The sequence below is a fragment of the Homo sapiens genome, chromosome 12 (genome assembly GCF_000001405.40).
Source record: "Homo sapiens chromosome 12, GRCh38.p14 Primary Assembly".
Taxonomy (NCBI): Eukaryota; Metazoa; Chordata; class Mammalia; order Primates; family Hominidae; genus Homo; species Homo sapiens.
In genome coordinates, this window is record NC_000012.12 from 132101913 (window position 1) to 132125504 (window position 23592).

The window sequence follows — 23592 nt, forward strand, 5'->3', positions numbered from 1 at the left end:
CTCGTGCTGGATGTGAGCTTGCACCGTTTTCACGTAAGCACTGTCTACTGTGTCCCTGAGCATCAGGCGTTAGGAGAGGCGGCTTCTGTAGTGGGTGGTATCTTTGCAGCTTTTTGAATGTTTCCCTTGAATTTCTATGAAGGTGATGATGGAAAAGACATCAGGTCTAAGCTGTCCATAAAATGCATTTGTCTGTAATACATGTCCTTCATTAAAAAACACGTGGCAGTTGGGGTCTACTGTCATGGTAGGAAGGTGGGAGCTGGACTCTCCTCCCAGCCGGGGTCAGGCCACACCTGGAGTGCCTCAGGTGCACTCTGTGCCCGTGTTTCCAGCCTGTCTCTGGAATGACTACTTCTGAACAGATTCCCTTTGCCTTTTTCTACCAGGCAGTATGCACTGAGTCCTTCAGGACAGATTAAATGATGAAAACCGTCCATCAAGTGTTCAGTCTTCATGCAGGATCACATCCGTGGAACTGATGTTTTAGCACTGGGGTTGATAGTGTCCAAGTCCCAGATTCAGGGGCAGGCTCAGGACCTGTCCACGGTGTTGGCCTATAGTGAGGCCCATGGGCCTCGGAGCCCGTGTGCCTGGAGCTGGACCATGGCTCCACCACTTCGTAGCTTGGCCCGATGTGGGCAAAGGATTACCTAGGTGCCGAGGCAACAGACTGAAGGCACAAACTGTTTCAGTATAATAAAGAAAATAGTTAGAATAAGAATAGTCATAATACGAATCAGATACAGAGCTGATCATGGACAATTATCAATCATTAGTATAAACATTATTAATCATTAACTTTTAATATTACTCTGTTGCATTACTAATATAACCTAGGAATAACCTGCGGGTATAGGGTCAGGTGCTGAAGCGACATTGTGAGAAGTGACCTAGAAGGCAAGAGGTGAGCCCTCTGTCATGCCCGCATAAGGGCCGCTTGAGGGCTCCTTGGTCAAGCGGTAACGCCAGTGTCTGGGAAGGCACCTGTTACTTAGCAGACTGTGGAAGGGAGTCTCCTTTCCTTGGAGGAGTCAGGGAACACTCTGCTCCACCAGCTTCCTGTGGGAGGCTGGATATTCTCCAGGCCTGCCCGCAGTCATCCGGAGGCCTAAACCCCTCCCTGTGGTGCTTCAATGGTCACACTCCTTGTCCACTTTCATGCTCCTCCTGCACTCCTGGTTCCTCTTTGGAGTTCTTAGTAGATAGCAGAAGAAGAAATAGTGGAAGTCTTAAAGTCTTTGATCTTTCTTATAAGTGCATAGAAGAAAACGCTGACATTTGCTGCCTTCCCTCTCTGCTTCAGCTACCTAAAAGGGAAGGGCCCCCTGTCGTGTGATCACGTGACTTGCTTCACCTTGTCAATCACTTAGAAGATTCACCCTCCTTACCCTGCCCCCTCGTCCTGTATGCAATAAATATCAGCGCACCCAGCCGTTCGGGGCCACTACCGGTCTCCGCGTGTTGATGGTAGTGGTCCCCCGGGCACAGCTGCTTTCTCTTTATTTTTTTGTCTTGTGTCTTTATTTCTTACAATCTCTCGTCTCCGCACACGGGGAGAACACCCGCTAAGCCCTGTAGAGCTGGACCTTACAGCCCAGGGAGCTCATTTCTCGCTGCCTCAGTGTCTCTCTGTGTAAATGGGCTATCAATAGGAGTGACCCCATGGCATGACTGTGAAAACTAAATGAGATCACGTAAGGGGCGTAGAGAACCTTTGTGACCCTGAGCCACCGTCTGCCACCCGCTGGGGATGCCCTGCTGTGCTGTACTTCTCTCCCTTCTCCCCCTCCCATGCTCTTCATCGCTAGCACTTTCAGCCCCTTGCGGTAGACTTGGATTAGGCAGGTATGAATACTTCAGTTCGAGAAAAGTGTGAGGCAGGGAAGCTTCCGAGCATCTCTTGCTGAGCAGATATTCTGATCTGAGCCTTTTTTGCCCTGGGTAGCAGTCTCGTGCCTGGGGTTTGCTGGGCCCGCATTGGCCCCTCCTGAGCCACCTTTCCAGACACCTGTGCAGGCTCCGAAAGGCGCCCGGGCATGGAGCTCACCTCACTCAACTCTAACTTTTCTGCATTTGTTTAGGGAGCATTTCCTGAAGACGTAGTCATGCAGCACGTCAGCAGCTCCCAGAGCAGCCAGCGCCATGTCCAGTGGCCTGGGGCCTGCCCCGGCGCGGGCGAGGAGCAGCCAGCGTGCTCCCAGCCGTCCCTGCCCCTCACACTGCCATCCCCCAGCCACCAACTACAGCAGCTGATGGTGAGAGGGGGCCCTGCGGGTGGGCAGAACATGAATGTTGACCTGCAGGGCGTGGGCCCTGGGCTCCAGGGAAGCCCACAGGTCACGCTGGCCCCACTGCCGCTCCCCAGCCCCACCTCTCCAGGCTTCCAGTTCAGCGCTCAGCCTCGGCGGTTTGAGCATGGGTCTCCATCATACATTCAGGTCACGTCCCCCTTGTCCCAGCAGGTCCAGACCCAGAGTCCCACGCAGCCCAGTCCGGGGCCGGGGCAGGCCTTGCAGAATGTGCGTGCAGGTGCCCCTGGCCCTGGGCTGGGCCTCTGCAGCAGCAGCCCTACAGGGGACTTCGTGGATGCCAGCGTGCTGGTGAGGCAGATCAGCTTGAGCCCCTCCAGTGGTGGACACTTTGTGTTTCAGGATGGGTCAGGGCTCACCCAGATCGCCCAGGGAGCCCAGGTTCAGCTCCAGCACCCGGGTACGCCCATCACAGTCCGAGAGCGGAGACCCTCCCAGCCCCACACACAGTCAGGGGGCACCATCCACCACCTGGGACCCCAGAGCCCTGCAGCCGCGGGTGGGGCCGGCCTGCAGCCCCTGGCCAGCCCAAGCCACATCACCACGGCTAACTTGCCACCGCAGATCAGCAGCATCATCCAGGGCCAGCTGGTTCAGCAGCAGCAGGTGCTGCAGGGGCCGCCGCTGCCCCGGCCCCTGGGCTTCGAGAGGACGCCCGGCGTGCTGCTCCCCGGGGCTGGGGGCGCAGCGGGGTTTGGGATGACGTCCCCACCCCCGCCCACCAGCCCTTCCAGGACTGCCGTGCCCCCAGGCCTTTCCAGCCTCCCACTCACGTCTGTGGGGAACACGGGAATGAAGAAGGTTCCCAAGAAGTTAGAGGAGATTCCCCCAGCCTCTCCGGAGATGGCACAGATGAGGAAGCAGTGCCTGGACTATCATCACCAGGAGATGCAGGCTCTGAAGGAGGTCTTCAAGGAGTATTTGATTGAACTGTTTTTCTTGCAACACTTTCAAGGGAACATGATGGATTTCTTAGCTTTCAAGGAGAGACTGTATGGACCATTACAAGCATATCTTAGGCAGAATGATTTGGACATTGAAGAAGAGGAAGAGGAGCACTTTGAAGTCATTAATGATGAGGTAACAGTTCTTTGTTTTGGTGCTTGTCATGGGAGGCAGAGCTCAGGGCTTATGCTGCGTGCAGGTGCAACGCAGAGCTTACCATCTCAGAGCATGCGTTCTAGGCACTTCACTTTAAAGACACACTGTGGCTGTGAATAGTGGTTTAAAGTCCCTCAGAGTCTCCCCACATTTACAGAGGGTGGTTCCAGGGATCCCAGCACATGGCTGAACCCCCAGCAGCATGGAAACTCCAGTGGTGTTCAGTCAGGCACCTCTGTGGCAGGTGCTCACGGCGGCAGCGTCCTGGCACCTTTCTTGGAATGCCACCACATTTGCCTGCTCCTAAACGGTTGTGCCGTGCAAGATGAGAACCCCAGAGTCCACCCTTGCCAGCTGCCTGCAGTCAGGGCTGGCTGGTCTCAAAGCCAAGATTCCAAGTTCCTGAACACACATCTCAATGTCAAGAGTTTCTGAACAAGTTACAGCTCTAACTTAGAATATACAGAGCAAAAATTTATAGAATTTCATTTTCTTTCTTTCTTTCTTTCTTTTTTTTTTGTGACAAAGTCTTGCTCTGTCGCCTAGGCTGGAGTGCAGTGGTGCGATCTCAGCTCACTCACTGCAACCTACGCCTCCCGGATTCAAGCAATTCTCGTGCCTCAGCCTCCCGAGTAGCTAGGATTACAGGCATGTGCCACCACGCCCGGCTAATGTTTTTGTATTTTTAGTAGAGACAGGGTTTCACCATGTTGGCCAGGCTGGTCTTGAACTCCTGGCCTCAAGTGATCAGCCCGCCTCAGCCTCCCAAAGTGCTGGGATGACAGGCATGAGCCACTATGTGTAGCCTATTTAGAGAATTTCAAGGGAGCAGGTTTTTTTTGTTTTGTTTTGTTTTGTTTTTTGCTTTTGAGACGGAGTCTCGCACTGTTGCCCAGGCTGGAGTGCAGTGGCATGATCTCGGCTCACTGCAACCTCCACCTCCCTGGTTCAAGCAATTCTTCTGCTTCAGCCTCCCAAGTAGCTGGGATTACAGGCACCCGCCACCACGCCCAGCTAATTTTTTGTATCTTTAGTAGAGACGGGGTTTCACTATGTTGGCCAGGCTGGTCTCGAAATCCTGACCTTGTGATCTATCCACCTTGGCCTCCTAGGGAGCAGTTTTTAAATCCACAATTATATGAGGAGTTACTAGCTTTTTTCTTAGAAGACAATAAATAATTATAAGTGTAGAACATGAACTATTCAAATTAACACAAATTAGCCTGTTTAAGTGTATAACACACATGTATATGTATGTGTGTGTAAAAACTTTCAACAAAGAATAATTTTTTTAGAGTATACATGGAGACTATTTGTAAATTGACCCCCAAGGGGATCCTCAATAAAATTTATAAAATTAATTTCATATGAACTGTCCTCTCCCTATAATGAAATAAAATTAGAAAGCAATTATTTTAAACATTTACTATGTGTGGAAACTAGGAAACTTGCCCGTAAGGTATTCATAGGTTGAGGAGACTATCTTCATGGAAGCGTCTTGAAGCACGCCACAGCGGAGGTGCCGCAGCCTTCAGGTCTTGTGGGATCAGCTGAAGGTCTCCTTAGAAAGGTCATTATGGCATTCAGTTAAGAAATACTGCAGATAAGCAGTGTAACAGCTTCCATAGTCACATGAAGAGTAAGTTCATCGTTGTATTAAAGTTTACTTCTAAATGATAGAAATAAGTTTTTATAGAACCTGACTAGCGTCTTCGGAATCTATGTTTTATCATCATTTTATAGGAAAATACCGGAAGTTGACTAACATTTGGGTTTTTCGTGAATATTTTCCTCTGTGTAATATTGCTCATCTTCCAGCTGCTCGTTGTGTTGACTCTGTAACATGATCCCTGTTACCAAACTTCATTAGAGCTACAAAATATTTGGGGGCTAGTAACTATAGAATTCATCCAAATTATTTAAACTAATTAGCTACATTTGCCTATGGCTTTTTTACTTGGGGAATTGGTGCTGACCTCGTGATCCACCTGCCTCGGCCTCCCAAAGCGTTGAGATTACAGGCGTGAGCCACCATGCCCAGCCGCTATGTGATTTCTTTAAAACATTTAATTGTGGGCCGGGCGCGGTGGCTCACGCCTGTAATCCCAGCACTTTGGGAGGCCGAGGCAGGTGGATCATGAGGTCAGGAGATCGAGACCGTCTTGGCTAACATGGTGAAACCCCGTCTCTACTGAAAATACAAAAAATTAGCCGGGCGTGGTGGCGGGCACCTGTAGTCCCGGCTACTCGGGAGGCTGAGGCAGGAGAATGGCAGGAACCCGGGAGGCGGAGTTTGCAGTGAGCCGAGGTCGCGCCACCGCACTTCAGCCTGGGCGACAGAGCGAGACTCCGTCTCAAAAAAAAAAAAAAAAAAAGAAAACATTTAATTGTGGTAACATATACAAAACATAAGATTTACTGTCTATCTGATTCATTATTTTTAAAGTTAATTTATTCCAGGGTACTGACAAATATTAAGGTTTGGTTTTGATTATTTATGATGATATGTGCTTGTTTATATTTAGCCTTCTGGACATATTTAGCCAGAAGAACCAGTTTCTTTTTCTTTTCCTTTTTCTTTTTTAGACCTGTCAGCCAGAAGTAAGAACCGGTTTCTATTTTCTTGTATTTCTCTCTATGATTTCAAGCTGTAAAGTGCCATTTGACTTTGAGTTCATTTAATTTCCAGGGTATTCCCATTTGAATACCCTGGACTTGAAGCAGTTAATGTATCTGGAAAGCTTCTTTGGTTTGCTTACTCTAAGAAGCTGTCATTATGGAGATGCAGATTAATTTGTCTTTCTGTTTTATCAGAGTGTGTTTTTAAGAAATGACACATTTTCAATGGGAGTGTTTTTTGTCATTCTTCCCCATGCCATGCCCCACCATGGCCTCCTCAGGCATCTGCAGCCCCTGCCGTGAGGGGTTGGCCACCCTCTGACACTGCCCCTGGGCTCCTGCACGAAGCTGTGTGGACATGGCCTGTGTAGCCTGACCATGGCTACCTGCCGGCCACAGATCGAGGTTTCAACTGGACTTCAAACAAAGCTTCAGTGCCTAGGGCCAGATTTGTTCTTTCCAGCCCTGTGAGGCCTGAAATTGCATCAGCGAGCCAAGTGTCCCCGTGCCCCTCTGTTAGTGGCTGAGGCCGCCAGCTGCATGGGATGTGCAGGCGGTGATCAACTTTGCAAAGCTTAAACATTATTTTCCCTTCTTCCTCCCTTCCCTTTGAATATTCCCTCTCAGGTAAAGGTTGTGGCCAGAAAGCACGGGCAGCCTGGGACTCCTGTTGCCATAGCAACCCAGCTACCGCCGAGGACTTCTGCGGCTTTTCCAGCCCAGCAGCAGCCGCTCCAGGTACTTTCTGATGGCTCCACAGTGCAGCTCCCCAGACTTTCCTCACTCGGATTTGAGGACTCGATGTGCTGAGGCAGGACCCAGAGGGGTCCCAAGAGCCTGTCCTCTTTTGTTCAAAATACATCTTGAAACGTCTTTGTGAAGGCTCTTAGTTTTAATGCATGGATGCTGTTATTTTTCCCTACTGTTACTGAAATTAAAAAGTGTTTGTCTCTGATCATTAGTTCTGTTAACTTTTCTGCTGGAATGTTTTTCATTTGCATTTGCTTTTCTGATATATTTGCAGTTTTCATTGCTTCTGTACGATTGTGGCCTCTTTGGATGTTTCTCTTTTTTTTCCCCCTTTGTCTGCTTTTAAACAAACAGATTTTCTAAATTGTTTTCTTGCTATAGGGAGTTGATTTTGTTCTTTAAACATATTCTAGGGGATGAGTAGCAAAAAACAATGATTTCAGATTTCAGAATACAAGGAAGTTCCTGGAAACTGCAACTCAGTTATCTCTCCTCTCCTCTCCTCTCCCCTCCCCGCCCCTCCCCTCCCCTCTCCTCTCCTCTCTTCCCTTCTTCCTTCCTATCTTTCTTTCCTTTTGATGGAATCCTGCTCTGTTGCCCAGGCTGGAGTGCAGTGGCACAATCTCAGCTCACCGCAACCTCCACCTCCTGGGTTCAAGCAGTTCTCCTGCATCAGCCTCCCGAGTAGCAGGGATTACAGGCACGTGCCACCATACCCGGCTAATTTTTTTGTATTTAGTAGAGATGGGGTTTCACCATGTTGCCCAGGCTGGTCTCGAACTCCTGACCTCAGGTGATCCCCCACCTCAGCCTCCCAAAGTGCTGGGATTATAGGTGTGAGCCACTGCGCCCAGTCAACATTTCTATATACTTAAAAACATGTTTTAAAAATTAGGTTAAAATATACATAAGAGTTCCCATTTTACCCATTTTTAAGTGTACAGTTCCGTGGCATGAAGCACATTCACATTGCTGTGTGGCCATCACCAGCATCCATCTCCAGAACATTTTCATCTTCTCAGACTGAAACTCTGCCCCTATGAAATGCTAACTCCCCATTCCCCCTCCCCCAGCCCCTGGCACCCACCACTGTACTGTCTGTCTCTGCGGATTGGAATGCACTTCTCCAGCGACCTAAGTAAGTGGAATCATACAGTATTTGTCCTTTTCTGTCTGTTGTTGTACTCAGCATCATGTCTTCGGAGTGCATCCACATTGTAGCCTGTAACAGAATTTCCTTCCTTTTGAAGGCTGAGTCACACGCCACGGGATGGGTGGACTGCATGTGTTGATCCATCTCTTGGTGGACACTTGGGTTGCTTCCACATTTCAGCTGCTGTGAACAGTGCTGCCCTGAAGACGGGCGTACAGATATCTCTTCAAGGTCCTGCTTTCAGTTCTCTTGGGCATATACCCAGAGTGGAAGTGCTGGGTCACGCACTAACTCTGTGTTTAACTGTTTAGGAAAGTCCATGCCATTTTCATAGTAGCTGCACCATTTTCCATCCCACCAGCAAGAACGAGGGTTTTCTTTCTCCACATCCTTGTCAACGCTTGTACATTTTTTTAATAGTGGCCACCCTAATAGGTGTGCTGTATGCTTTATAATGTAATAGAAAAATATTACTGACTATGCATGTACATATGGCTAAAGACATTCAGAGTTGGCCGGGCACGGTGGCTCACACCTGTAATCTCAGCACTTTGGGAGGCCGAGGCAGGCAGATCACCTGATGTCAGGAGTTTGAGATCAGCCTGGCCAACATGGTGAAACCCCATCTCTACTAAAAATGCAAAGATTAGCCGGGCTTGGTGGCGGGCACCTGTAATCCCAGCTACTTGGGAGGCTGAGGCAGGAGACTCACTTGAACCCAGGAGGCGGAGGTTGCAGTGAGCCGAGATTGCGCCACTGCACTCCAGCCTGGGCAACAAGAGCGAGACTCCATCTCAGAAAAAAAAAAAAAAGGACATTTAGAGTTTTAATCTGTTAATCAGCTGGCACTGTTGATGGTTCAAAATTGACTAGTGAGGGAGACAGCATTTGAAAAAACAACTTTAACTCAGAGTAGCAAATGGCATTGGTGACATATGCAGAATCCCACAGGAAGAGTGTGGAGGGATGCATGGGCTCCTGGGAGCAGGATGCAGGCTGTGGGGTGGCCCAGTGTGCTGTACCTGTGGCCGGCAGGGCTGGCGCCTCTGGCCTGGCCCCAGCAAGCGTAAGGACCCAGACAGAACACAGGGCTGCTCTACCCTACTCTTCTCATGTCATGTTCTTAATGTTGAGAACACAGGTTGAGTTCAGTGTGATTCTCCAAACAAACTGGCTGTGGGCAGTGTCAATTTTCTTTTCTCCAATTTCTTTATTTATATATTCTTTTGAGACAGAGTCTCCCTCTCTCACCCATGCTGTAGCGTAGTGGTGTGATCTCGGCTCACTGCAATCTCCACCTCCTGGGTTCAAGCAATTCTCATGTCTCAGCCTCCTGAGTAGCTGAGATTATAGGTATGTGCCACCGTGCCTGGCTAATTTTTATATTTTTAGCAGAGAGGGGGTTTTACCATGTTGGCCAGGCTAGTCTCGAACACCTGACCTCAAGTGATCCACCCGCCTCAGCCTCCCAAAGTGCTGGGATTACAGGTGTGAGCCACCACGCCTGGCTCTTTTTTCCAATTTCTTATTGTGAAAAATTTGAATTATTGAAAATGTTGAAAGAGCAGTACAGTGAGTGGTAAACTCACCAGTTGTTAATAGTTTGCCGCATGTATGTGTTCTACCTGTCTGTCTATCTCCACACATTTTAAAGTTGTCACAGTCGTGATTGTTTTTGTTTACCCCTGGATCCTTTGTTGTGTATCTCCCAACAAGAGCATGTCCCACATGACCACAGCCCTCCGGTCACGCTCGCGGGCATCCACACCTCTCGAGGCATGTTCCTGCCTGGGTCTGCTTTTCTTTCTCTCCCGACGCTGATGTTTTGAAGGCCAGTTGCTCTGCAGAGGCCATCACAGCCTGGGTGTTCCGTTTCTCACTGCTGACTTAGGCTGAACATTTCTGGCAAGAATACAATGGAGGCGGACCTCTGCATGCATTTACTTCTCAACCAAGCCGTGCAGGCCAGTTAGGGAGATGCAGATGCAGGTGGGCTGGGTGCCGTGCGTCTCATGGGAGGGTGCCCTCCGGGGACACTCTGGACAGAGGCACTCTCTGTCATGTGCTCAGCTTGGCCCCAGACTGAGGCTTAGCAGTCCTCCAGTTGTTCACCGTATGAAGAGCAGGAGAGGATAAACAACTGGACGACTGCTGAGGAGAGGCCAGCAGTAGGGAGTGGAAACCAAAAACTGAGCTTTTACACGAGGCCACATGTGCAGCGCCCTGCGCCAGGCTGAAACCCCTGTGTGCAGCGCCCCATGCCGGGCTGAAACCCCTGTGCCGATGCCCCTGGAGAGCAGTCGTGGGGCAGGGCCTGCCCTTGTTCAGTAAGAGGATGAACCTGGCCGTCTGCCTGACTCAGCCTCGTATCTCCATGATGAGTTAACATATTGGCTCAAAAAAACAAATTTCCTTTAACATCTTAAATGAGGTAAAGAAAGAAAAGTGGGCTGGGTGCGGTGGCTCACACCTGTAATCCCAGCACTTTGGGAGGCCAGGGCAGGTGGATTGCTTGAAGTCAGGAGTTCAAGACCAGCCTGACCAACATGGTGAAACCCCCGTCTCTACTAAAAATACAAAAATGGTGGATACCTGTAATCCAAGCTACTTGGGAGGCTGAAGCAGAAGAATGGCTTGAACCTGGGAGGCGGAGGTTGCAGTGAGCCGAGATCATGCCACTGCACTCCAGCCTGGGCGACAGAGCGAGACTCTTGTCTCAAAAAAAAAAAAGAAAAGAAAAAAGAAACGAAACTGGTTTTGTTGTTGTTGTTGTTGTTGTTTTAAACAGGGTCTTGCTCTGTCACCCAGGTTGGAGTGCAGTAGTGCGATCTTGGCTCACTGCAACCTCCATCTCCTGGGCTCAAGCAGTCCTCCCACCTCAGCCTCTCTAGTAGCTGTAACTATAAGCACCACACCACCATGCTCAGCTAATTTTTAAAATTTTTAGTTGAGATGGCATCTCATTATGTTGCCCAGGCTGGTCTAGAACTCCTGGCCTTAAGCGATTCTCCCACTTCATCCTCCCAACTAGCTGGAGTTACAGGCGTGAGCTACCATGCCCAGCTAAATTTTCAGCTTTTTATTTAAAAAAATTAATGTTGTCCAGCCTGGTTTTTTGTTTGTTTAAGCATCTTTTCCAGCCTTTTTTGGTATTTCTGAAACTCAGCCTGCTGCAGCATTCTGACAGTCTTTGAAGTAATAGTGCACACTGGTTTTAATTGTGAACCTGTCTGAATCTCTGTTCCTTTTTTTTTTTTTTTTTTTTTTTTGAGAGAGGGTCTTGCTCTGTCTCCCAGGCTGGAGTGCAGTGGCACGATCTCAGCTCACTGCAACTTTGCTCTTCCGGGCTCAAAATGATTCTTCTGCCTCAGCCTCCTGAGTAGCTGGTACTATCAGCATGCACCACCACACCCAGCTAATTTTTGTATTTTTTTTGTAGAGATGGGATTTCACCATGTTGCCCATGCTGGTCTCGAATTCCTGAGCTCAAGTGATCTGCCCACCTCGGCCTCTCGAAGTGCTGGGATTACAGACATGAGCCACCACGCCCAGCCAAATCGCCATTCTATTTTGGTCTCTGAAACTTAACATTTTGCTTGAGGAAGGGCTCATATACAAGGATATTGAAACAAATGTTGTTTTATATGATAATAATGCCTGAGGATCAACACATATACATTTCCTATCCCAATATCCCAAAAATAGCAATCAGTGTATTTACAGATGCTGCAGATCCCTCTGAGGAGTTGATTCTGAGGCTGTCCCTGAGGACCCATGCCAGGAGATGTGTCCCGGAAGTGACTGTCACAGATGCAGTCCCCCAGATGATGAGGCAAGGCCTGAGGGTCTGCGCTTGTTGGGGGAAAGGTTTATTACAACTTCTCCCAAGCAAACAGATGGAAAGCAATACCTAGAGCAGCTCCAGTGCTTGTGTGTGGGACACCTCTGCAGGGGCCTTGTGTGGCTTTGTCCTCATTTCAGTTAGAGTTGAGAGTACAACCCATTTTCATGTATGGTGGACTTTATAAAACCTAAGTCTGCTTTCTACTCAGTAAACGTTTAGACATTTTTCTTTTCACATTATTCTCCAGTTACTAAGATTTTGTCTGTTGTCAAATCCACATAAGCCTTCTGTTTTTTGGTGAAGACATATTATAGACTTAGAGTTTTATTTCTTTCCACAAATACTTTGACATTGTCATTTTTGCCTTAGTTTATACAACTATTTTTCTAAGCTCTAGATTTAGTTTTCACATGGATACCTCTGGTGTTTTAATTCTGGCTTCCGCTTTTGGTTAGCAGTTGTGACTTAGATTTCTTATCTACAAACTACTTCTGAAGCCTGGTTCTGTTGTGCTGCCTTTAGCAAGTGGTACACAGAAAAGTACTAAACGATGAAAAGATTATTTTTGTTCCTTTCTGTCAAATTCAAAGGCTAATATGGAGGGTTTTTTGAGTTTATTTATGATCACTGGCCAATAGCTCTAAGCTGTGATATCATGTTCTTTGTCATAGAAATTGAAGAGACAGTGGAGAAATACTTATTTTAAAATCAGTGTGATATAAATTAACACACATTTCTACTTCCCATAATTTTTGTCTCCTAATAGCAAATACATATGGGGACTCCAGTACCTGGAGATGTGAATTCCATAAAAATGGAAGCATCTAAGAGGCAGTGAACACTGGCGCCCACAGGTATGTAGCAGTCACCCAGCATGAAGCCAGCCTGCAAACAAAAAGGAAACCATGCAGGCCTTCTAGCAGTGTATTTTCCAACTTTTTTCATTTTAAGTAAGTCAACAAATAGCTACCAAATGGCTTCTGTGGGCTCACGGGGTCACCCCTGTGCCTCCTCTCAGTTCTTGCTTGGAGCGAAGTGACTTTACACTCAGCCATCATTTTGGCCACTTAGTGCCTTGAGCTGGAGGCATGGGAGCGGGCCTGGGGAGGCCACGGGCACTCATGTAGTGGCAGGGCCTGGGCCTCAGCTCTGTGCCCAGGAGCTTCCCCATGCCGGCCAGGCACATCAGAATCTGGCATGTGAGTGTCCCCGAACTCACTGTCCAGCCACCCCCCTTGACAGCAGGATCCCTGGGAACAGGCCACTTGGCAGTGGGCATGGACTCAGAGCAAAGCAAGATGGGTGCCTCAAGAGCTTGGTCCCACCCAGGCCTGAGACTGCCTCCCTTCCTGGTGAGGATCAGAGAGAGGATGTCCTGCCCGCAGTGCGTTCTGTGCTATTTCCGTGTTCTGCACCAGGGACAGTGTAGCATGAACTTTGAAGGTGGAACCTGGCTCACTGTGCTGTGATTGGATTTGATGTCACAGATTCTCCTTTGATGTCAGAGGCCTCACCTACAAGTGGGCCATCCTGGGATGGGTTTACAGCACCTGGAGGTGACATCAGGTGTTCCTCTCCAGCAGTTAATGCCAACAGCACAAAGCATCTGTGTGCCGAAGAACCTGGCAGGTACTAGTCCAGGAGTAGGCTGTGGGAGCCGGGAGCCAACAGCTCTGAAGCTCTGAGCTCTGAGGCTTTGAAGCTACCGCACACTCTGTCATCTGTTGATTGTTCCTGGGCAGAGTGGGCCCTTGCATCTGTTTATTGACCCAGACCTGGGCACAGGCTGGTGGTGTCTGTGCAGACTCACAGTTTCCCCTACAGGTGATTAAAAACCAAACTATCAAGAGTTTTCATGTATTTTCCTAACTTTTTCCAAGTAGAAGCATTCTCTTTTTCTCTATGATGATCTCAGGCTGTCTTCACATGCACTGTTGTTTGCTCTGTGGGGCCCGTGCTGTGACGCTTGGAGTGCGGGCTGCAGTGTGGTCAGCCGTGCCCTCGCTGGCTCTGGGGATGTGGCCAATGTGGTGTCACCTCACCCCTCTCAGTTGTCTCATCTGTAAAATGGGAGCAACAGCGATAATTACACTTCTCAAGTGTGTTCTGGGGACTAACACTGTTACGTCTGTAAGGCGCTGAGCACAGCACCATGTTGTAAGCACGTGTCAGTTAATACCACACTAAAAAATTAATATTCTATAGATTTAATGGCAAGCTTTAATTTTTTTTAACATATCCAACTTTTTCGCTATAAACTTATGGGGTACAGGAGCAGTTTTGTTGCATGGACATACTTCGTGGTGGCAAAGTCTGGGCTTTCAGTGCAGCCGTTATGGGAATAATGTAATCACACCCACTGAGCATCTACCCTCCCCTCACCCTGTACCCTTCCAAGTTTCCAGTGTCTCTCATTCCACACATCTGTGTGGACGTGTGAGTTAGCTCCCGCTTACGGGTGAGAATGTGCGGTGTTTGTCTTTCTGTGTCCGAGTTGTTTCGCTTAGGATGATGGCCTCTGTTTGCATCCATGTTGCTGCAAAGGACAGTTTCATTCTTTTTTATGGCTGGACAGTATTCCATTGTGTATATATGCACCACATCTTCTTATCCAACTGTCTGTTGATGGGCACTTAGGTTGATTCCGTGTCTTTGCTGTTGTGAACTGTGTTGCAGTAAACATGCGAGCGCAGGTATGACTTCAAGAGAATGATTTATTTCCCTCTGGATACACACCCAGGAGTGGGACTACTGGATTGGACGGTAGTTGTATTTTTAGTTTTCGGAGGAACCTCCATTCTATTTTCCATAGAGGCTATGCTAATTTACACTCCCCCCAACAGTGTGCAGTGTTCCCTGTTCTCCACGTCCTCGCCAGCATCTACTGTTTTTTGTCTTTCTTTAATTTTTGCAAGTTTGCATTGCTTATAGAGTACACCGTAGTTTTCAAGGAAAACACACCAGCAAATACCGGTACTAGGATATGCATACGTACGTGCGCATCAGTGTGTGCCTAGAGACCCGGGAAACCGGTCCATGATGATAAGTCACATCGATGCGCTCCTTCAGCAGATATTTACAGAGACTGGCGAGTGGCGAGGCCCGAGTACGCAGAGATGCGTGACCGCCACCCCCTGCCTTTGCCCGGACCGGCTCCCGACTGCTCCCTTCTCTTTATTCAGGTCTTGGCTCCACGGCCCACCTTGGAGAGGCCTTTGCCGCCCCGGCGCCCGCCCTGCGCCGTCATGTTTGCTCTCCCTGGTCCTCAGAGCGCCCACTCCCGTCAGGTCGCCTGTGTCTGTGCCTCGCTGGGGAAGGCAGGGCCTGGCGTGCCCTGCGCTCCTCTCTGCCCTCGGGACAGGAGGTGGTCAGGGAAGGTGGTCCCGTGTCCTCAAGGCGGAGTCCCTCGCAGATGGTGCTGAGGTGGAGAAGCTGCGCTGCTGCTAGAACAGAGTGGGCGCTGCTGACCGCGCCCGCCTGAGGAGGGTTGGTGGCAGAGGCTGCGCCACGTGCACGCCCCGAGGCAGGTGGTCGTCGAGGCCTTCAGGCTGCAGCTGCTGGGCAGGGTGTGAGCCAGGAGCGTTGCAGCTGCGGGGCGGGCAGGTGGGCCGGGCCTGGGGAGTCACCATCCAGGAGCACGGAGCCCCCGGAGCAGAGGGCACGGCCATCGCCTTCTCCCAGCGTGGGGGCTGTGAGGCGAGTTGTGCGGTTGCAGATCACCAGAGGAGGAAAAGCGCGCCCAGAGGCGGGAGCCCTCCAATCACAGGGCAGTGCAGAGGCTGGCACCCTCCAGTCACAGGCCAGCGCAGGGGAGGGCGCCCTCCAGTCACAGGCTGACGCCCTCCAATCACAGGGCAGCTAGAGGCAGTCACCCTCCAATCACAGTCCAGCACAGGGGAGGGCACCCTCCAGTCACAGGCCAGCGCAGGGCAGGGCGCCCTCCAGTCACAGGCCGGCGCCCTCCAATCAAAGGCCAGCACAGAGGCGGGCACCCTCCAGTCACAGGCCAACGCCCTCCAATCACAGAGCAGCCAGGGGCTGGCGCCCTCCAATCACAGGGCAGCCAGAGGCTGGCACCCTCCAATCACAGGCCGTGGCATTGGCCGCCCTCATCTGCTGCTGAGAGTTCTGTCGAGTAGGAGGAAGGAGGTCCCTTCAGGACCATGGGCCTGAAAAGGAATGATGGGGCCAAATTGATAGTTTAGCCACTGCCTAGATTCTAGAGATTTCCATCTTTTTTGGTTGTAAAATGTAAAATCAAATCTTTTATATTGGCTATGTTTAGGACTGGAACAACTACTGTAAAAATGATTTTTTTAAAACCTGTGCTTGAAGGTTGCGGCGGCTCAGCCTGGAATCCCAGCACTTTGGGAGGCCGAGGTGGGCGGATCACCTGAGGTCAGGAGTTTGAGACCAGCCTGGCCAACATGCAGAAATCCCGTCTCTACAAAACATACAAAAATTAGCCGGGCGTGATGGCGCACGCCTGTGATCCCAGCTACTCGGGAGGCTGAGGCACAAGGATCGCTTTGAGCGCAGGGGTCAAGGCTGCAGAGACAAGGCTGTGATTGCTCCACTGCATGCCAGCCTGGGTGACGGGGCGAGCCCTTATTTCGAAAATAATAATAACGATTCAAACGTTACTCCTTGGAGTTCTTCCGGTTGGCTTTTGTTTTACCATTTGAAGCCACAGCTCAGTGGCATGAAGCACGTTCACGTTGCTGTGCAGCTGTCACCTGCGTCCACCTACAGAAGATTTCCACCCTCCCAAACAGAAACGCTGCCCCCGTGAAACACGGATGCCCCGCCCCTCCCCTGGGCAGCCCCGCTCCGCTTGCTGTCCCCATGGCTTTGAGTGCTCTAGGGACCCCATGTCAGTGGGACAGACAGGATCTGCCTGCCCCTCTGTGCCTGGCTCGTGTCACTCAGCGGAAGGTCCTCGGGGCTCATACACGCGGTGGCACGTGGCAGGATTTCCTTCCTCGCTAAGGCCTTATTCTCTTTACGCATCATCTGTCAATGGACACCTGGGACATTATTCGGTTTGGGGAGCAGTGGGCTCCCTAATTTCTTAAGGTCGCGTCTCTGTTTTGCTGTCAGATACTGGGAGAGCTGGGCTTGACTTTCTTTGCGTTTGCGGGAGGAATGCCCCCCACGCCGCACGCCGCGCAGCTCGCTGGGCAGAGGCAGAGGCAGAGGCAGCAGCAGTACGACCCCTCCACGGGGCCTCCCGTGCAGAACGCCTCCAGCTTGCACACGCCGGGAGGCTGCCCCAGCCGGGGTCCGCGCTGCAGCGTCTTTGCAGGTCTCCCAGCAGCAGGCGACAGAGCCACAAGCACAGCTCTCAGTCCAGGGAAGGACCCAGCAGCCAATCGCAGCGCCGCCACCTTTCCTGCCAGGCCGGCGCTCGCCACCAGGCAGGCTGTTTAGCTTGCGCTCCACCTCCCCACCCAGGAGCAGGCAGCTCCCCAGGCCCGCCAGCCTCTGCCTGCGGCACCATCCCAGGTACCCAAAGGGGCTGCCCTCCAAACCCGGGCACGGGATGAGTCCTGACCCACATGGGCTGCAGTACCAGAATATTCTCGGTGGTCTGTGCTTCCCCAGGAATCTGTGTTTCCAGTGAGTGTAAAGGACTAGGTCTAACTTGTTCAATGTTTTTCCCCTACTAAGCACTTCTGATGAAATGGTGAGGGCCGTAAGTCAGCGTTCCGGGTAAAGGTTTTAGTGGAATTGAGAACCGAATGCGTTAATGACGGGTTGCTTGCTGCCCTTGAGGGTAACCAGTTATTGCAAACACTCTGCCTCTGTCACCTCGTCTGCCCTCGGCTCCTGCGGGGAGCACCTCTTTCTTTTTTTTCTTTTCTTTTTTTTTTTTTTTTTTTGTTAGACGGAGTCTCGCTCTGTCGCCCAGGCTGGAGTGCAGTGGCGCGATCTCGGCTCACTGCAAGCTCGGCCTCCCGGGTTCACACCATTCTCCTGCCTCAGCCTCCCGAGTAGCTGGGACTACAGGCACCCGCCACCACGCCTGGCTAATTTTTTTTGTATAGAGACGGGGTTTCACCGTGTTAGCCAGAATGGTCTCTATCTTCTGACCTCGTGATCCGCCCACCTCAGCCTCCCAAAGTGCTGGGATTACAGGTGTGAGCCACCGCGCCCGGCCAGCAGCACCCCTTTCCATCGGCTCCATGCAGACAAGCAGCACCCCCCCAGCAAGTCACAAAGCTGCCTCTCCAGGTGCATTCAGACTTGCAGGTGTGGCTGTGGCCATGGCGTCCAGAGCCCAGAGTACAGCACCACCTGCCCCGCCCCATCCCCCACCAGGCCCTATGGCCATAGAGAGCCCTTAGGACAAGATTGCAGAGCAGATGAAGCTGGTGAGAGAGCTCAGTTATCTGTGAAAGAAGTTGCTTTTGCTACAAGCTGTTTAAATTAGAAGTTGAAATGTTTCTCAATATAATATGGCAGACGGTAAAGGCATCTGAAAAACTGGCCATGGCTGCTTCTCTAGTGATTCTTTGGCACCAGCCTACTCAGATTCTAGAGCAGGGGGCATCTGGGGTGTGTGCACAGCATCTGGGAACTGCAGGTTCCCCCACCAGCACCCAGTGTGGGCTGTACTGGGGACCGCCGGGAAACCGCCTTCCCTCATTCAGGTCCTTCATCTGAGCCTGTGACAAAGGGGCTGGAGTCTCTGTCTTCACAGTTGATGGGCTGCTCCTGTCTTTCAGGAGAACCAGGTGCATCAGCGCATTGCGGAGCTGAGGAAAGCAGGTCTGTGGTCCCAGAGGCGTCTGCTGAAGCTGCAGGAGGCCCACGACCCAAGTCCCACTGGGACTATCTGCTGGAGGAGATGCAGTGGATGGCCACAGACTTTGCCCAGGAGAGGTGGAAGGTGGCCTCTGTGAAGAAGGTGGGTTGGAATAGTACTTTGTGGAAATCACATCGTGAAAGAGAATTGAAGAAGTAATTATATTATGTAAAAGAAAATTTCTAAATTTAATATGGCCAATTTAATGTTTGAGTTTTCATCACTAACTCTAAGACTTTACCTGACTGTAAGTCTTTTTTTTTTTTTTTGAGACGGAGTCTCACTCTGTCACTCAAGCTGGAGTTCAGTGGCTCAATCTCGGCTCACTACAACTTCCGCCTCCCAGGTTAAATGGACTCTCCTGCCTCAGCCTCCTGAGTAGTGAGGATTACCGGCACCTGCCACCATGCCCAGCTAATTTTTTGTATTTTTAGTAGAGATGGGGTTTTGCCATGTTGGCCAGGCTGATCTCGAACTTCTGACCTCAAAGTGATCCATCTGCCTCGGCCTCCCAAAGTGCTGGGATTACAGGCATGACCCACCACCCCCGGCCATGTGGACAATTTCATACCAACTGGCATTTCATGTCTGGCCATGGCACCGTCTAAATTGAGAAGGATTATCTCGAATTATGTTTGCATAGAAAGCGCTGTGATAATTGTGGTTCATGTTTCATCTGGACTTTATTGCCCATTAACATAAGTGTCTTTGACTGACAGTAAAGGGATATTTTCTAGGGGAATATTCATTTTACTTTTTATTATTGAATATTATTAGAATTGTTGCTTGAAGCAGTATCATGAATGGATACTAAAAATGGAAAAATAGACTTTCTTTGGAATTCTCCAGAATTAAATATGTATATCTAGTAAAAAACAAGATGTTTCCATATTACTGTGTGCGTGGAGACCCTCACAGACAATGTGGCGATTGTCTTCAGATGGTCAGAGCTGTGGCCCGGCAGCTGCAGGACAGGACGCGCAGGGAGGCCGGGGCCAGGAGGGAGGAGCCGAGCAGGCTGAGGCAGACGTCACCTGTACTACCAGAGAAATCGAGCGTCCCTGGTCTAGTACTGCGCAGGTAAACACACGTTTCCTCTACAATTTGCCCTCAAGTTTTCACTCGGGAGCTAATGATTTTATATTTTAATTCATGATTTTCTTTTAGATCGTAGATTATCTTTTAGATAGTAGAAATAAAGCTGCAAATTGAATTTCAAGAGAAACAAAAAAAGACATTAAATTTGAATAAATATTCAAAAAGAGGTAACCAAGTAAGTTAATATAGTGTACTTATTCAAAGAGTCGTCATGTTATAGCCCACTGCCAAGGTGAACTGTGAGAATTCATTGTTATGCTCCTGTGCTTTGTGACATGGCATAATGAGGCTGAAGCCCTGAAAACATTATGAATTATGCCTTTGTAGGTAAAGATTCCAGCATCTTGGAAGCAAGTGCTCCACTGGAAAATAAAAGCCACGTGGTGAGTGTTTTCTTTGTGATATCAGAACTTCATGTTCCGGGTGAGGGGCTTCAGGGTGCCCGTGTCCTTGCCGGGGGGCTCCGGTCTCCAGTCTCCTCAGCATTTCCCTCTGGTCTCCCTCCAGAGAGGACAGATCTACTCACGATCTTTGGGACCACCCAGAAAGGGTCAATTTCAAAATCGAATTTTCTCAGGATGACTTCAAATCAAAACAGAAACGTGTGGTCTTGCCTTTGGTTTTTCCGCCCAAACTGCCTTTTGGCTTTGCCGTGTGGGGACCGGGCACCTCGACTGTCCTCTGTGTCCTGTGATGGGGCAGGTTACGCCATGTCTGATCAGTAGGACAGCGTCCCTTGGGTTCATACCCTTTATCTGCAGTTCTAAAACTCTGAAAGCTCAGACAGCAGAAAGGTTTTGCCCACTCAGTGTTGCTCACTCATTTTGCAGCAAACCTGACCCACACCGAGGCCAGGCCAGCCCCGCGGTCCTGGTGGGTGAGTGTGTCTGGGTGCTATTGCTGTGGAAACGTCGGCGTGTTTGGTCATGGCTGCCAGATGCCGTCCCTAACACTTTCCCATGCTTATTTGACTTATGTCATTACCTTACTTCTCTGAAACAGTCTGAATTCCAAACCCTGTGTGGCCCTAAGGATTTTGGATAAGGGACTATGTACCTATAATATAAATAAGCCATATTATTTACAATCATGAGTTTCTGAATGTTCACTTTTTTTATTTTTGGAGACAGAGTCTTGTTCTGTCACCCAGGCTTTAGAGTACCACAGTGTGATCTCGGCTCACCGCAGCCTCCGCCTCCTGGGTTCAAGCGATTCTCCTGCCTTAGCCTCCTCGGTAGCTGGGACTACGGGCATGAGCCACCAGATCCAACTAATTTTTTGTATTTTTAGTAGAGACGGGGTTTCACCATGTTGGCCAGGCTGGTCTTGAGCTCCTGATCTCAGGTGATCTGCCCGTCTCACCCTCCCAAAGGGCTGGGATTACAGGTGTGAGCCACTGTGCCCAGCCAGAATATTCACTTCTAAATGTGGGTGTGTATTCAGGTGACTTGGGATTAAAAAAAAAAGAAAAAACCCTTATGGGATTTTATATTTAGAAGTTCTGTTGTTGAAATATGAACCTGTATCTGTTGTTGCAGTGGCAGAAGGCTGCAGCACAATGAATGATTATTGTGAAAGCTGGTAATTTTGTGCCCACAAATAATTGTCAAGAACTTTCTAATAATAAAATACAGAAATAGATTAATAGTTGCTACAAACATAAAGAGAGACTCCATGGTAGAACACTTTAGGAAGCACATTTTATCTTTTTTGAACCAACATGTATTTCCAAACATGTAAGTAATAATATCAAGCGTGGTGGGAAGATTGGATTGGAGGCTGATTCTGATCTGTGTGTTGGGATGAACTGTGGCATTCACAGCATTGAGCAAAATCATCTTCAAGGACAGCGTTTAATTCTGTTGTTGACAAGTCTTTTAAGAAAAAGTACTAGTTTGGGAATTTTTCACAGATACAAATAAGCTTGACCCCTAAATTTAAAATATTATTTAAAAAATAAAATGTCAGATTTATTCATCTGTCACAGAGTTTATTCTGTTGATGGTAATATTGGCTTTGGCTAATCAGAGATTTCGACATGCAGGCATCCAGCTGAAATGTGACTTGGTGCACCCCTATGATGTGAGTTTGTGCTGTATTTAAGAAAAAGATTTTACCCCATCTCTACTAAAAATAAACTTAGTCGGGCATGGTGGCATGCACCTGTAGTCCCAGCTACTCGGGAGGCTGAGGCAGGAGAATCGCTTGAACCCGGGAGGTGGAGGTTGCAGTGAGCTGAGATCGCACCAGTGCACTCCAGCCTGGGTGACAGAGTGAGACTCTGTCTCAAAAAAAAAAAGAAAGAAAAGAAAAAGATTTTAAACATCCACTTTATATGCTTTATCTTTCAAATTTAATGGCTAAATTTAAAATACATATACCGGGTGCAGTGGCTCATACCTATAGTCCCAGTGCTTTTCTACCCATTCACTCACCCACCCACCCATTCATCCATCCATCTACCCACCTGTCTGTCCATCCATCCATCCATTCACCCACCTACCTGTCTACCTACTCATCTGTCCCTCCATTCATCCACTCACCCACCCATCCACTGATCCACCTACCAACTTGTCTATCCACCCACCCACCTATCCATCCACTCATCCATCTATCCATTCATTTACCCATCTACTTTTCCATCCATCTATTCATTCATCCATCCATCCACCTATCCTTCTGTCTACTCATCCATTCACCCACCGACCCACCCATCCATATATCCATCCATCCACCCACACACCCATCCACTCAGCCAGCCATCCCGTCCATTCATTCATCCATCCATCCACCCCATCCGGCCATCCATCTATCCATCTACTCATCTGTCCATCCATCTACCCATCCATCCACCCATCTTCTTATCTACCCATCCATCCATCCGTCCATTTTTAATCACCTACTCAAAGTGGAAAACCAACACATGCCCCTAGGAACTCACAGTCCTGGTGGTGAGTATCGGAAAGCACAGGGAAAGGAGTGCCTGACCTGGGAGAACGGAGGTCATGCTGAGTCTTCAGAGCAAATAGGAAGTTCCTGGATGGTTACGGGGGAGGGAAAGTCACGGCAGCAGGAGTAGCGCACACATCACATGCATGTGACAGGGAGCAGTGCAGTGCATTCAGGAAGCTCGGGGCTGTGTGGTGAGGACTCAGAACGCAGGGAGAAGGCGGCACAGGCCCAGAGGATGAGGGGCTGTGGGTCAGAGAATGGTGGGAACCTCCCCAAATCCCAAGTTCCCTGAGGCCAGCCCAGGGCCAGCCTTGTGTGCGGGTGTTTCTGAGGATGGCGCGTCTCTGCATGAGCCTTGTGTGTCATGTGCAAGAGTGTGTGTTGTGTCCTATGTGTGGGAGGGAGCTGCCGGCGGTGCATTTGTGGGGGCCGAGGGCCAGTCAGGATGTGCCATTAGAACCACGTGGCTCCTGAAAGCAAGCCCGTGATACCAGAGATACCTGGTAGTAGCATCTATATCTGATTAGCTGTACATCTCTTGACAGTCTTTTTAAAAGCATGAGTGAAGAAAGACATAAACTTCCGGATTTGCGTAAGTGAGCTTGCCAACTAAGGAAACACATGAGTATTATCTGTATCTTCAGGAGCACTTGATTAGACTCCAGAAACAGAAACTGCAGCTGCTCCCACCACCCCCACCACCACAGGCCCTGCCCGGGGCACAGCCAACCACACAAGTGCAAGTGCAGCCGTCACCCGCCTACCACAGCAGAGCCCCCAGCTCACCACAGTCACGGCCCCGAGACCCAGAGCCCTGTTGATGGGCACCACCATGGCCAACCTCCAGGTAGCCCGGCTTGTAAGCGTTCGGTCATCATTGCTTTTTTTTTGCTTTTTTTTTTTTTTTTTTTTTGAGAAGGAGTTTCACTCTTGTTACCTGGGCTGGAGTGCAATG

At 49.7% G+C, this 23592-nt stretch overlaps 1 pseudogene across 1 annotated transcript in view; it reads left to right on the plus strand.

The window, feature by feature from the left end:
• The window catches only part of EP400P1 (EP400 pseudogene 1), a 42058-nt pseudogene that overhangs the window by 17630 nt on the left and 836 nt on the right, over positions 1-23592 (plus strand). The window contains exons 4-9 of the transcript NR_003290.2: positions 6660-6770; positions 12546-12633; positions 18508-18689; positions 19528-19667; positions 20013-20068; positions 23282-23484. The product of NR_003290.2 is annotated as an EP400 pseudogene 1 (transcript). The remainder of the gene's footprint in view (positions 1-6659; positions 6771-12545; positions 12634-18507; positions 18690-19527; positions 19668-20012; positions 20069-23281; positions 23485-23592) is intronic.